Source organism: Homo sapiens, chromosome 15, assembly GCF_000001405.40.
Source record: "Homo sapiens chromosome 15, GRCh38.p14 Primary Assembly".
In the NCBI taxonomy this organism is placed as follows: Eukaryota; Metazoa; Chordata; class Mammalia; order Primates; family Hominidae; genus Homo; species Homo sapiens.
In genome coordinates, this window is record NC_000015.10 from 87,306,694 (window position 1) to 87,322,913 (window position 16,220).

Consider the following 16,220-nt stretch of genomic DNA (forward strand, 5'->3'; position numbering starts at 1 on the left):
AGCAATTATTTTACTGATATTATATGAATTATATGAATGAGGCCTTTTATTCACCTAGTAATACTACATTCTCTAAGGTAAGTTGAGTTGCTTTAAAGGACAGCCTGCCATTTCCCATGAAAAATTATTAATACTTTGCTTGACTCTCTTAATGATAGTTACTGTCAAACACTTAATTTCCAGGATTCTTCGCCTTCTCTTTGGAATGTCAGATTTTTAAATCTTCTGATATTCCCCAAATTCCCTATAATTATATTAGTCTAATTATTTTAAAATTTCCAATGGCACAGCATTTGGTCAGATCAACAAAATCATGCTCATCTATTGCAATGGTCAGTTATTCTCTACCACTTCTTACAAAAAGGATTCTTTTGTAAGAGAGAAAAGCTCAAAGTTAGCCACTAATTATCTCTACTATATTTCTTAAATTGTAAATAGGTTAAGTTTATCATTTTCACCAGATCAGTGTACCCTGAAATTTCTTTTTTTTTTTTTTCTTCCACAAAATTGGATCCATTAGTCCCCTGGATGTGTCCCATCATCTCATTCCATGCTTTCCTGAGAATCCTATCTACTTCTTTGTTTGCACTCACTCAATCTGTGCCCTTTTCCTTCTTGCTTCTTTGTGTAGAGAAAGGCTTTCACGACTATGCAGGGATCACTTTTATTGTGTCCTTTCTTCTCTCTTTCTACTACTGATTTCCACTTGGCCTGCAGACAAAGAAGGAGCCTTTCATAAAGTCCTGTTAGCTGTTTCTTGAGAGTATTACCCTTCATGAGCCTAGTTAAAGAGGGTATTTCAGAAGCTGGCAGGTTATTCAATAACTCTACTCATTTTTATGAAGTGAGCTACACTGAAGTGTTTATTGTGATTTACAGATGGGCTGCACAGAAAGTGGTATCATGACCTCCGAGTGGCCCCGCTACCCAATGTCACCTTCCTTGCTACTGTATCTCAGTGTATCCCAAGAAACAGGTAAACATAGCTCAGCATGTTTAGTATACAAACTGCCAACACCTCAAGGAACAGCCTTCTAAACAAATGTGACTCCAAAGCTAGTATATTCTGAAATCGTAACTGGTTTTATAAAAGGTAAATTAGGGGTTCTGCCTTGTTTTTTAAATCTGTATTGATTTTATGTCTTGAAGCAAAACAGAGTCAGTTTCCAAACACTGTTGGAATTGGGCTCTGCCTTTTATCTTTCTCTGTTTATTTTAAGTGAAAGGGGAAGTGGCTGAATAGGACACAAGTTTAATGTCATATGATCAAGAAAAAACATTCCTCTTTGTCATCCTAGAATGTCTACATCAGTCAACATATTCAAGTCATTAATGTGAACTCCCCATTCTCCATATCCAGCATTCAACACGTAAGTTCTTAGACCCCACTCAGCAGTTTACAGCAGTGCTGAGGGCTACCTATAAGAACAACTCTATCATTATTGCATATGAGTTCCTAATGGGCATAAGCTATAAGGAGATAAACTGAATTCCAAGTCAAGAAATCTGAAATTCAAAATCTCCACTGATCTCATACACATTCTAGAGTATCGTTTCAATCACGATAGAAAGATAAAACACAAAACACTGGAGAACTGAAGATGGGGCTGGGTGTGTGCAAATAAAATAAATTTAGAAAAAAAGTTGACTTTGTAAAGGAAACTTAAAAAATCTGGCAAACCAAATATATTTAAAGACTTCATGGATCTCTGGTGGCAAATGCTAAGGCTACCCAAATGAGAAGAACACGTGCTAAACTTAAACAGGCATTGTTGTTTCACCTAAAAAAAGGGGGTGGATCTTTAAGGAAAACACAGCTGGATTTTTAAAACAAATTGAGTGTGGACTTAGGTTCCATCTCTAATGATATCTAACCATATTATTTTAGAAAATGTAACCACTCTAGTAGGTTAAATGTTTATCACTTACTTACCTGGGATATTGTCAAAAGAATCAGTGAAAGACATTCTGCAAAGTATTTGTGATGTAATCACCTTCGTGGTTATTGGTCCAAGATTTGAAGAACTCTGAAGTTTTAAGTTAGCTGAGCCTCGCAGAGCCAGAACAAGTAGAGGGTACACATTACAGGAACCTAAGCCTTCAGAAAGAAATGAGTACAATTAAATTGCAACACTTCTCTTGTTCCCTTCCTTTTAATGGGACAACTCTCTTGGCTTACCTCTAATAGAGCTCATCTTTGATGAGTAGATTGTATGATGTACAACAATGTCCTTTTTTACCAAACTTAGAACAGCAAACAGCAGGTTGGGCATGGTGGCTCATGCCTGTAATCTCAGCACTTCGGGAGGCTGAGGCCAGCGGATCACCTGAGATCAGGAGTTCAAGACCAGCCTGGCCAACATGGTGAAACCTTGTCTCTACAAAAATACAAATTTAGCCGGGCATGATGGCGGGTACCTGTAATCCCTACTACTGGGGAGTCTCAGGCGGGAGAATCACTTGAACCTGGGAGGTGGAGTTGCAGTGAGCCGAGATCGTGCCATTGCACTCCAGCCTGGGCGACAGAGTGAGACTCCATCTCAAAAAAATAAAAAAAGGACAGGAAACAGCAGATGTGTAACTAAGATAATACTACCATTTTAAAATTTTCTTTATTTATATGTATTTATTTATAGACAGGATCTTGCTCTGTCACCTGGACTATAACAGTGACACAATCATAGCTCACTGCAACCTTCAACTCCTGGGCTCAAGTGATCCTCCCAACTCAGCCTCCCGAGTTGCTGGGACAACAGGCACAGGCCTCACCTAATTTTTTCTTTTTTTAATTTTCTTGTAGAGATGGGGTCTCACTATGTTACCTAGGCTGGTGTCAAGCTCCTAGGCTCAAGCAATCCTCCTGCCTTGGCCTCTCAAAGTGCTAGAATTACAGGCATGAACCACTAGCCCCAGCCTATTTTTCATTTTAAAAACTACATATATTTGTAACTATAAGAAAAAACACAGAAAAAAACAGGCACATAGATTTATTCATCATAAAACTTCTTTCCTTTCAAGTTTAATTCAGTGTGAAAGCCATTTCTGTGAAACCCAGTTGATATTAACCTTAACTCAATGCTATTTTGAGCTGAAGATAAGAGAGGAGATTTGGAGTTGGAAGCTGCTTTTTTCGAATTGTATAAGATGAATAAAAGCATTTGAGCGAGTGTATCTCTTTAAGATCAATGATCCTGGTAAGGCTAATTACTCTAACCCTCTCCCTCTAAATTTAAAAAGACCTTGGTAACTGGAAGGACCACATGATTAACCGGCTGAGAAGATTGGCCATGATAACGGTGGTTGGTACTTCCAGGTATCCCCCTCAGTTGTCTCTTTGTCACCTGGAGAATATACTGTATGTGCCAATGAGCTGCATCTTGAAGAGCTGGGAGATTCTTTCATGAAGATTGATAGCAGTGGTACAAGGATGGGGAAAGATATTTTAGGTCTTAATGAGCTTACACTTCCTGGGAAAATGTGGAATGGCATTGGGATTCTAGGGACTCGCTGTTATGGGACAGTCCAGATGACATTGTCTCGCTTTCTTTCAAACCATAGCCCAGGCTTCCTGCTGAAGATGGAGCCATCTTTGTCTTCCAAAATGGCATTCTCCATCGGAGACTCTTTATTAAAATAAAAATTAATATTGATCAAAATTGTTATTATTTTTTAAACTTCTTCTTCTTATACTACTTATATTTTGTCTGTACCTGTTTGTGACTATTATTCTATCATCGGTTCATGAATATTTTCTCATGCTGTTAACAGGAACCTCTCATCATCATAATACAACTCCTAGTCACATGCTGCTTTTTTTCTTGCATTCTTTTAATCCAGTTGTTCCCCATCTCACAATAGTAAATCTACTTATTACTTGTGCTGTAATAACAAACATATCACACAAGCCAAAACTTAATTCGTGTTTTTTTTAATGAAGTTACATGATGTTTAATGAAAAATCCTGCTAGTACACATATAAATGGAAACAACACTTCAGACCCAGGGGGTGGTTTATATACTTAGGGTCAGGAATAGCATTCCTGGGAATTCATCCTAAAGAAATAATTAAGCAAACGTGAGAACAAACATAGTATTTAAAAGGTAACTATTGTCAATTATTTAAAAACTATTAAAGCTATCCAAATGTCCAACTATAGGAAAATAGCTAAGTAGATATTACACCATTGAACGGGACAGGACAGTTCACCAGATATTTAAAAATATAATTATTAAGGTGATATATAGAAAACCAAAATACTTTATAGTTTACTGTTAATTTTAAAAGCCTTATATAAAATAATATGCTACGTTTTATCATTGTGATTATATAAAATAAAACTATGCAGATTAGAAACAAATGACCATGTACAAAAATTGCTCTGTTAAGTGATGTTAGCAAATTTTTTTCTTCAGAAATCTATTATTATCTCATTTTTTGTTTAAAATTTAACTTTACTGATTTTTTAAAATCATAAAGTATGTTAATTTTCGTGTGTTAAATCTATTTGTCTACCCTTCAATACTTCTAAAGATGGTAAACGTTGACCGAATTAAAATTTTTTTTTATTATACTTTAAGTTTCAGGGTACATGTGCACAACGTGCAGGTTTGTTACATATGTATACATGTGCCATGTTGGTGTGCTGCATCCATTAACTCGTCATTTAGCATTAGGTATATCTCCTAATGCTATCCCAAATTCAAATTTGTAATTAAAATGTTTTTTAATTTACAAGACTTGTAAGTGTAGAAGAAATTTAAATAACACTTCAAATGATGCTTTCATAAGCTTGCAGCATTTAAAATTAAAATTTTTAAAGCTTAATTATGCACTAAGACTTTTGCTTTACTTGTCTATAAGTATACACATATATACAGTGTTACTTCAACTATATGAGAGTAAAGACAGTTTGCCTGTCTAATAAAAATAGTAGAAAAATAGTATCATATAACCACAGTGCAATGATCAAAGTCAGACAAATTGACATTATTTATTACTATTATCTAATCCATGATTTGTATTTAAATTTTATCAAATAATCCAATGTTTCTATAACTAGTTTTTTTTTTCCTGGTATTTAGGATGCAATCCAGGATCATATGGTGCATTTAGTTGTCTTAGTTCCTTCATCTTCAGCTGTAGAGTATCTTTCAACTGAGTGTGTCTGATCTTTTCTCATAACTAGACTCAAGTGAAGAGTTTTAGTACATACCACAGAAATGACGAAGTAACTTTCTTCCTTTCATTGTTAATAAAAATTAAAATATAAAAATTTTCTTAAATTGTTAATTATATGAAACTGCACTCATAAAACAGTTGTCACTAGAGGTAACTCACAAAGTTTTACTTCAAGAGATTACTCTGACAAGAGAATGCAAGTGCTAAATGGAGCTTCCTACAAGATGAAAGCAAAGCAGACTGTTCAGGCTCCTCAGATCAGTAAGTGAGGCACATCTTTCCACCAAGTATGGGGTTTGGGTGGGTTTAATTTCCAGAAGCATGATTATAAACCACATGTCTTGGGCTCAGAGAGCAACAGTGAGGGGTATTCACATTTGAAATATAGCTCAGACCAGAAAACATGGCCCATCCAAATGATGCTTTCTCCTACATCCAAGAACATTCCCATCCCTCTCTGACTTGTAGACTTGCTCAGCCTCAGCTCATCATTCTTTCCCAAATAACCCAGCCAGAGAACAGCTGCAGGGTCAGGACATCAAAGCCAAGCTGCGGTGGATGCACGACTGCAGCTCTGCCGTTACCAGGGATGACTCTAGAGACAAGAAAGTCACAGCTGGGTGCTCAGATCTCAAGAGGGGGCTGCAATCCTGGCAAATTACAGAATGTATCAAGGAGTTATATGATGAGAAAATGTCTTCTGGATGTCAGGGAGAAAAAACACAGAGAAAACCCCAGGATCTTGTGTTTTACAGACTCCTTTGTGACTGGAGTCAAACTCACAATAACCCCTTTGCTTTCTGCAGCCACTTCTTCTGGGACATGATGCTACTTGATGTGTTTATTTAGGTTTCTTTGCGCATTATTTAAAAGCAAATCTCTAAAGCAAGTTACACTTGAGGAGATATGGGCTGGGCGGATTTTTTAGAAAGAGAATTCACTTAATCCTCAAGAACTGCTGTTGACTTTTCTGCCTGTGCTTCTGCTTATTTATCCCATTTACAATGCATGCTTGCTCAACAAAAGAAGCAGACAATCATCCTTACACATTCATATCTGTGACACACAATCTGACCACTTCTAACCTTTCAGTTATGATTTGCATAAAATCCTAAGTGAATAGATACTATATTTTCCGATGCTCTTGCCACCATGATGCTTGAAGGCTTATTGTTTATATTTCTAGCTGAGCTTCACCAGACAGGAGCAGGCAAAGGGGATTCACCTAATGCCAACCCTCTCAATATCTTAAAAATGAGAAAAGATAAGCATGGAAAAATCATGGGAAAAAAACTAAGATATAGCAAACTCCTTGACATAAGTTGAAATAGATTAAGTCTGCTTTTAAAGCCAAGAAAAGGAGTCAGGCTTCCCTCTGCAAAACCATATAACAAGACTGCCCTAGGAGTTCTCAAGTAGGAGAGGTAAAGGGCAACCCAGGCAGGGAGACAGCAGAAACACAGGCCAAGAGAAGAAAAAAAAGGAAAAAAAAAACCTGAGACATTGTATAAGTTAGCTATTGCTAACTAATAAGCCACCCCAAAATTTAATGGCTTAAAGTAATGTAGCATTTTTCACCAGGTATGAGCTGGCTGGGCAGTTCTGCTGATGTGGTCTAGCTTATAGGGCTCACACATGCATGTGTGGTCAATTGCCAGTCAGGCTGGTGGTGCAACTGACCTTGGATGGGCTCTGGTACAGATGCAGAGCCTTAGCTCGAATTGCTGGGCTGATGCGGCTCTGCTCCGTGGGTCTCATACTGCAACAGGCTGGCCCACACAAAGCCTCATGACAAAGGCAGAGGAGTGGTAGGGAGAGTAAAATCATGCAAGGTCTCTTGAAGTCTAGGTTCCCAACTGTCACATCATCACTTTCATTGCATTCTATTGAGCCAAGCAAGTCACAGGATATAGCCTAGACGTAAGGGGAGAGCTGCAAAGTCATATTGCAAAGGGTATAGATTCAGATCTAAAATTGGGGTCATTTTTGCAATCAATCTACCACAGAAATGCTTAGGAAAGAGCTAATGGTCAAATACGGGTAAACACTACGACTACCGATGGAGGGTAGTGTTGGGGAATGAGGCTGGGCTTGTAATTAAATGCATAACTAGGTTTAATGCATTTTCACCTGATTGCCAATGGGAGAGTCTGCCACAGAAGTGCTAAGATTGGGAACATTAACCTTGAAACACTGTGTAGAATTAATTGGAATAGGAAGAAACTATAGGTGGGGAGCTCAGTTATGAGACTATTGGAGGGCAGGGGTGGGGATTAACGTGAATTGGACCCCTGGTCTCAGTGGTGGGGTAAAGACAGGTCCACCTCTGGGGCGCTTTGTGGTAGTGTCTCAGTTCCTGCCAACGGCAGGATCATGGGGTTCTCAGTGGCTGAGGAGGGCAGCATTAGTGTATCAGAAGCACATTTCCAGCTACAGGGGAAGGAGAGGCTCAAAGGGTCAAGCTGTCTGGGATAAAATGACTTAAGGATGATCAGAATAGTGAAAACCTTACAGTAGTCTTCTGGATCTAAAACAAGGGGACAAGAGGCTTTAATAAGAGTTGCTTTGGTCTAACAACTTGGACTCCCTAAAATTACTGAAACAGACAGAGCAAAAGTTACAATTCTGTATTTAAGCTATGCTTCAGAATTTCTCTTTCTATGACAGTATTCTGAATTGAGTGTTCACTTTATATCCCAGGCCCATCCTAGATACTGCAGCTCCTGAAAATAAAGTAAAAGTCACATTTTTTTTCTATTCCTGGTCCATCCGTTCATCTGGAGTTGCCCTCCCTATACGATATCCTCTGGGATTCAATTCCCACCTCATAGGTGACAGATATAATGAAGTCATTTCTTCTATATAGAGACCTTCTAGGTAAATAAAAATTACTAATTTACTATTTAGAACAAATGAGTACAGAATAGTTATTTGTTCACCTGTTGATTGTCCTCAGCCTCAGCTGAACTTGTTAGCTCTCCTTCCAAATTTCTGCTTTTCCTATATAGAAACATGTGTCACTGGTAAAAAGCAAGACATCATAATTAGTAAATAAGCCTGGTGAGGAGGATGCCTTGGGTATGCTTCAAACCCTACTTGCCTCCTAACACAATGTCCTTCAGCCTCCCAAGTCATCCATATAAATGTACTCTTTGAACAAAAACATTGTGCTTAACATGCAAACAGGACTTTGAGCACAACCTGTCATCCTCGTCCTTGTGGAGACTGCTTCCTCAAGCCTTTTCTCCATGGAAACTCTTGAACTGTCATCAGCTGAGGCCTCAATGATTGGCTTCAATGCAAACTAATATATGTATGTGTGCATATGACAGCTGAATATAGACAGATTACATAGAAAGGTAAACAGATAAATAGATAGACAGATACACAGATAGAGATAGACAGATAGATAGATACATACATACATACATACATACATACATACAATTTGGCCAAAACAGTTCTTAAAGAGACATATGTTGTCTTCTCCCTGGACCTCACATCTCACTATACCCCCAAACCAATCATACCATCATATCATCTAGTCTATTAAAATTATCATGATCTGTCCTGGCTCTTTAACTTTCCATCTGCTGTACCTCTGACAGTAGCATTTTAAAATTTCGTTTAGTCATGGTTTTCTGTAGGGTCAGTAGTGTCCTATTATGGCATATCCCAATAGACCTTCTTGGAACATCTGCCCTATTGATTGGATAGCCTCTTGCCCTCCCACCTTGAAGGTGCTTGTGGCATAAGACTATACAAAGAAGTTCTGTTGACTAATAGAATACATAAAAATATGAAGTCAGTGTATTTGACATCAAGGCTGAATATATAGTACATTTTCTGATAGTAGGCAGCTTGGCATACAAGAGAAAATCTGAGTTTTACCTCTGGCTTTTCCACTTACTCTTTATGTGACCTTAAGCAAGTTACCTAATGCTTTCGAACCCCTTTGTCTTTATTTGTAAGTTGACGGATAATAATGGATACCTCATAAGGCTGCTGTGAAAAATAAGATAAAGGATAAAAAGTGTTGACCAAAATATCTATCACATTTTGGTTATACAGCAAGAGAACATTTCTTTCCTCTTAATTATGTGAATGCATTACTTCATTGAATGTAAAATATAGAAGAAAAGATGTGGAGGAAGGAAGGGGACTCTCTAATGCAAGATACTCTTCATATAAATTGCAGCTTCTACTTTGCAGAAGTCTCCACCACTGATTGATCAAGAGTAGCATTTTACGCTTTGTTCCAATTGCCTATTGCTGCACCACAAATGATCCCAAAATTTAGTGATTTAAAGTAACAACATCATTTAGTTTGCTAACAAATCTGTAATTTGGGCTAGGATCATTGGCACAACTCTACTCTGCTTTACCAAGCGTCAACTGGAGTGGCTCAAAGACAGGGTCTATCATTTAGTGAAGGCTCATTCACTCGCATGTCCGGCAGTTGTTGCTGGTTATTGGCTGGGACCTCGCCAGCCTTTCCATGTGGTCTCTTCTTCGCAACATGCAGCTGGGTTCCAAGGGTGAGTGTTTTAAAAGAGCCAGGTGGAAGCTGTATCATCTTTAAAGCTCAGCTTCAGAAATGATATAGTGGAACTTCCACCATAGTCACAGCTCCATTGAGATTTAAGGGTAGGCCATATAGACCTCATGTCTCAAATGTCACCCTGCAAGAAGAGCATGTGGCAGGGAATATATTGGTTTAACCATCTTTGGGAAATACAATCTTCCATATTCTACAACTAGAAATTGACTCTGTGAGGGAGCCTTATGGCTGTGTTCCTTTTTGGGGTCACTTTATGCTTTGTGCAGCAATCTTTGGAAAATACAATCTTCCATATTCTACAACTAGAAGTTGACTCTGTGAAGAAGTGTTATGGCTGTGTTCCTTTTGGGGGTCACTTTATGCTTTGTGCAGCAATCACATTGGGATGACTGCATACATTGGGTTATGTTCTTCCCACTGTGGTAAAAGAGGTTTCCAAAATCTAGGAGATATTTCTTCAATCAAAACAAAATATCTTTTTGTTTATTTTACTATGAACATAACACATTCTTTTTAATGAAAAAAAGGAAGAAAGTAAAAAGAGGAAATGAAAGGAGAAGGAAGAAAGGAAAGAAGGGAGGAAGAAAGGAAGGAAGAAAGCAAGGAAAAAAATTGGAAGTACTTATCTATCAAATCTTCTAAACAGAATCATGTTGTACATAGTCCTGAAAAGTTTGTTTCTTTAAAAAATTTAATCTTTACATGACATAGTGGTTTACTTTATGAATGTATTAGAATTTATTTAACCAACTTCCCGTTGACGTATACCTCCATTGTGTGCAATTTCTTACTACTATAAAAATACAAGACAATGCTCTTTCTAATCCGACATATTCCTGAACACTTATCTTAGCATTTTCTTAAGCCTTAAATTAAATTGCCTATGCATTTTAAATTAGTTTTCTTTATAAAGGAAAGTGTAAGATTTCTGGCCCAATTGTGTCCTCAAGGACTCCCTTGGTAACACCCCCACTCCCCTAATTATTTCAAGTCTCACTTATTTCCAGCAGCCTTGGTAAAAATGACAACTTGTATTTTGTTGCTATATAGCTGTAGATAAATTTATATGAATATGGTTATACATAAACCAATTTGTATAACTATGTCAGGCATGATACTAGTGTTTTATGCAAATTATTTTACTTAATTCTTAAAACAACTGTATAAAGCAGGTATTAATATCCTTATCTTACTGATAATAAAACAGGCTCAGAGCAGTTCACTCTGAGTTTGAACCTGACAGCAGAGTTTTAGCTTAACTCCCTTTCCATTATACAACACTGTATTCTCACTGAAATGTGTATAAAATATCAGGCAGAAACAAAGAGAAATAGTGTATTTATATACAAAGCAGTGAGTCTTTCATGGAACATCTTATTACTCTCCTAAATTTTTGCAGTGGCTTTGAAAGAATGTATCACCCAATCAATTGTAGACTCTTCATGTCTGTTTTCTCTGACTGCTCAGCTTCAACGACATAGCAGATGTATCTGCCTGACCTTGGCTCTGACCTCGGTCCTGTGTCTCACTCACTTTCTCCTACCTTCCACTCTGCATCTCTTCTTTTCCTTTGTTTCCATTACTGATTCTCTCATTTCCTCTTGCCCTCAGTAGTACGCCTTCCCAAAGCCAGAAAGTCTCTCTGCCTTTTATTCCTTTAACACATCCTGGGAGAGCTCATCCATTCTCATGGCTTTACACATCACTTCTATGCTAATGACTCCTAAATTTACATTTCCAGCCCCATCTTCAATCAAAGCAAACCCTCATTAATCACTGAGTTCCTGTTCCTTGTCTCTAGTTGCCCACTGGACACATTCAGCAGGAATATCTTACTGTTACCACATCCCTAAAACCCAAAACATCATCTACTCACCAAACTGGTGTCTTCTAAACTCCTTTTCAAGTCATTGGCACCATCCTTCCATTCTTCGGGTGACTCCTGCTGTCTCCACCTTAATTCTGGAAATACACTATAAATGTGATGCTTCCTTTATTAATTTAATTGGTATTGTTATACAAAAGTAAAGGAAAAATATTTGATGCATGCTTCGAAATGTTTCTCTAATCTTTAGCCGAATTCACAAGATAAATATTGTTCAGCTTTTCCTCCTCTGAGGATGATCATGATGATAATGGCTAACATTTATTGGCCCCTTTTTATGAATGAGGCACGGTTTTTAGCACGTCATGTATGTTAGCACATATTGCATTCTACCAAACAGCCTGATGCGATCTCCATTATGCAGACTGGGCATCTAATGCCAGATCACAGCAGCATGATTTGACTTCATCACCTTTGCTCTCCTCATTAACCTCCTCTTTCACCTTTCCTTTAGCTTTTAATTTATTGGCCAGCTTAGCTCCCTTTTCTCTTCCACACATTTAGTTTCTTCTTCTTCTTGTCATTACCAACATGGATCCCCTGACTTCCCAGGCTCGCTAGTCTCCTGAAAAGTTGCCTCTTCTGCTTGTCAAATGCCACCATGCTGATGCGAGTCTTTGTCCTCTCCCCTGACCTCACAACCCTCCTGGCTTTGGCCTCTGTCTTCCATTGTCCCTTAGCTATAATTCATCCTGCATGCTGTTTACCAGACAAATTCTCCACGCACAGCCTGTTCGCCTGAGAGTCCACTTCTGCTGGGACATAACAAATGGCCACGTTTCTTAGCTTGCTCCCAAATCTACCCTCAAATATCATACCACCTGTTATGAAAATTTTTATTCTACGTACTTTTAATTGTTTTAATCTGAAGCATTTAACGATCTATACATATGATACAATTTCATAGTACTTTATATGCATCATAAAAATGAGTGCATGTAAAAACTGGTGAAATCTGAATAATTTCTCTAGTTTAACTCATAGCTGACTGTACCAATGTCAGTTTCCTGGTTTTGATGATAATAATTAATAATAAACTACAGCTCTGAGAAATGTTCTCATTGAGTGAAGCTAGGTGAAGGGTATGTGGGAACTCATTATACTATTTCAGAAAGGTATTAGGAGGCTTGTTTATTTCAAAATAAAAGTAAAAAATACCCTAAGGCATTTTTATAGGAAGGTACATCCCAAGTTGTTATCATTGGGATGAACTGCAATGAAAGGAAGAGAAAAGCTTTTCCTTTTCACCCTACATAGTTCCGCAGTGTCTGAATATTTTGCCAAATAAATATATCCATGCAGAAGTTGTATACGAATAAGATAAACAGTCTCAGGAAAAAATCAAAAGCATTGTTAGTGTAAATGTTATGTTTGTTTTTCAAATTTCTAACTACTTATCTGCTTACTACAATTCAACTTCACTTTGTATTATTCACAAATATGGTCCTTTTAGTCTGATCAGGTAGATCATCTTAAAATTCTAGAGTGCATATCTTGTCCACCCGGTCTTTTGTTGCTTTCTCTGTTGACAGCTCTGTGGATTTAGCTATGTTCTCTAAGCAGATGACTTCCAAATATGTCTCCTCTGGCTCTCTCGCTGCTTTTTTTTTTTTTTGAGATGGAGTCTCGCTCTGTTACCCAGGCTGGTGTGCAACTGTGTGATCTCAGCTCACTAACCTCCGCCTACCAGGTTCAAGCAATTCCCCTGCCTTAGCCTCCTGAGTAGCTGGGATTACAGGCATGCACCACTACACCTAGCTAAATTTTGTATTTTTAGCTGAGACGGGGTTTCACCATGTTGCCTAGGCTGGTCTTGAACTCCTGACCTCAAGTGACCCACCTGCCTTGGCCTCCTGAAATGCTGTGATTACAGGCATGAGCCACCGCACCTGGCCCCCCCTGCCTCCCTTATCTCCCAGAGCTCTATTCGTAAATTCCAACTGCTGCTGGCTTTTGCACGTAGATTTTTTTTTTTTTTTTTTGCTAGTATGTCAAACTTAGTTTGTTAAAAAATTGAGCTTCTCTTCCCTCCCATGCTATCTCTTCCCTCAGTGCTGTGCATATTCGTTAATGACACCATCATCTTTAGAATCAGTCTGACTCAAATCAAGTTAAAGTCATCTTTTGATCTTTTCTCTCCTCCCTTTTTTCTCCCACCCTCTTAGCATCACTTTCCCTTTCTGCAGACTTGGATGTCCCTCTAGCATGGCATTTAATGTCATGCAAAATCTGACTCCACGTATTTTCTTAGGTGTCTTATTACTCAACACCACACTTTCTACATTTTCATAGAAATAAAATTCACGTCATTGTTCTCTTTTCCACCTCCCTACCCTTCATAAGTAGATAATAGTGTCCTGGAAGGAAAGGAGTTCTATCTTTCTTATCTTTATATCACCTACCTGGCATTAGAGGCTCAATAGTCACTCAAAAACTATTTGTTGAAGTGAATTGATTTTCCTAATCAGATTTTAGTGATTTGAAAATAGGCTCTTAGGCATACAAAGACTTCTGAACACATAGTAGGAGCTTAATAAATATTCACTGATTGATTAAAATTTGTTAGCCAGGTTTCATTATCAGGCAAAATGAAATACAGAAAATAAACTCCCATCTCAGGCTAACTTCTCCTAGAAATAGAGATGAATGATTCCATTGAGTGATATAGATGAGTATCTGGTCTGGCCTCCATAGAGAAGAGTAAATTAGATTTTTTAAATAGTTCCAGGGTTAATAATGTAAGATGTTATTAGTAACACAAGAAGTAAGGAATCATTTTTAATGTAGTCTATGACCTTTATCTTGATATACTGGAATAAGAGATGTATGCACCAGAATGGGAAGAACTGCTCATTTTCAGCAAGGATTTGGAAACAAAGGGCAGAAGCTCAAATAGGGAACATTCAAGTTTGACTAAGAACCAACCAGGAGAATGCACTGCAATTTCCCAGGCCCCACACAAGGCCTCAGGAACTGAATCGGTCCAGAGGGAGATGGTTGTTAAGAACAAGAAAGCTACTCTTTTCACATAAATACATAAGTCATAATCAATAATTTAAGAAGAATAAAGGAAATTCAAAAACAGCCTATGTCAGTTTAATGAGATTTGGGGAAAAAAAATATGATCTCCTTTTAAAGTTTGCTTCAATACAATAGGGCCTCTTTAACACATCCCTAATTGGATTTAATGGAGGTGAAACAGATTTAACCAATCTTAACCCAGATTTATTCAATATTATGTAGATTTTACAAATTCACTGGAGGTTCAATACCAGTTACTGTGATCTTAGTAAATCTTCCCTGATTCTTATTTGCACTTTCTGTAATTTAATAAGGAGGCAGGTGTAACCAACACTAAGATTTAATAAATATTTAGAGTTTTATTGAAAAAAATAAACAATTCAAAGATGTATTCAATAGGCTTAAGACTTAACAAATATTGTCTCAACTCAGGGAAATACAAATTGAATAAAAATAGCCCTAATTGCTTGCTCTGAGACAAGTGTTCAATTTACCAATCATTTTTTATATATTTAATAAATTATTAAATCAAGTGCAATGCTCATTAAAGATTATATCATTTGAAGGAACTCCTCTCAGCTATGATTTATTTACTTTAATGTCCCATTGATTAAATGTTCTTCAGATCTTAAAAGTCCACTTCAGGTTTAATAGGTATCAGGTCAATTTAGAAAAGCATTTGGAACACATGAAAGCCAATCAGCAGGGAAATGATATGTACACTGGGTACTATATGGGTGCCATAAGTGGGAGGGATGTTGGAAAATCATGTATTTAAAATGCTACTTAAAAGCATTTCCAAGAGAAAATACTGTAATTCTCTAAGCTTCTCAAGTGCCTATAAGTGGGATGGATGGGACCAAAATGTATAACCCAAGGAAAGCGTGGTAAGCAGGATAAATTCTCTGGAGTAGTCCTAGGAATATGACTTTTAGTGGAACTGCCTAATAGCTAAAGTGCCTTCTTTGGAAGTTAATGTGAATTAGAGCTGTAACCATATCTCCGGGGTTCCTATGACATGTTTTATTCTTTCATATATCATGTCTCCAAGACATCTATAGAGTTACAACTTTGAAATTTGGAGTACATTCTTACTTGGCTAATTTCCACAGTGATGTAATATTATGATTCCAAGAATTGATGTCTGCTAGGGTTCAGTGCTTTTGTTGTGATTTGACAGATAAAGAACAGATTCTATGTGAAGCAATACCTTGAATACTGCACCCAAATTGTTACTCTGTGTGTTTATGAAAAGAAGATAACATGGCATTTTATACTTAGTCATTAAGAGTCCCTGGATACCATAGCAGGTAATTAGTGAGCTCAACACAAGCCTTTCATTTGCCCTTTTAATGCTAAAATAATAATACACTCACTCCATTTATTTAGCAGCTACTATACACTGTATGTACTGGACACTATTTCTTTTATTTATTGTAAATATTCCAAATGAAGTTCTACACAGCTTCATATTATAGATTAATACACTAAGATTTTGAAATTAAATAACTTGCCTCAATTCAAACAGCTAGTGAGTAGCAGAACCAATATTTGAAATCAAAATTATATCCTTC

General features: G+C 37.4%; 1 long non-coding RNA gene across 1 annotated transcript; it reads right to left on the reverse strand.

The window, feature by feature from the left end:
• Positions 1 to 1,939: 1,939 nt before the first annotated feature.
• Positions 1,940 to 3,865, reverse strand: LOC107984735 (uncharacterized). Its single transcript, XR_001751743.1, has 3 exons — positions 3,711 to 3,865; positions 3,463 to 3,623; positions 1,940 to 2,098 (listed from the first exon to the last, which is right to left on the reverse strand). It is a non-coding gene; the product is annotated as an uncharacterized LOC107984735 (long non-coding RNA).
• Between the last annotated feature and the right edge of the window lie 12,355 nt (positions 3,866 to 16,220).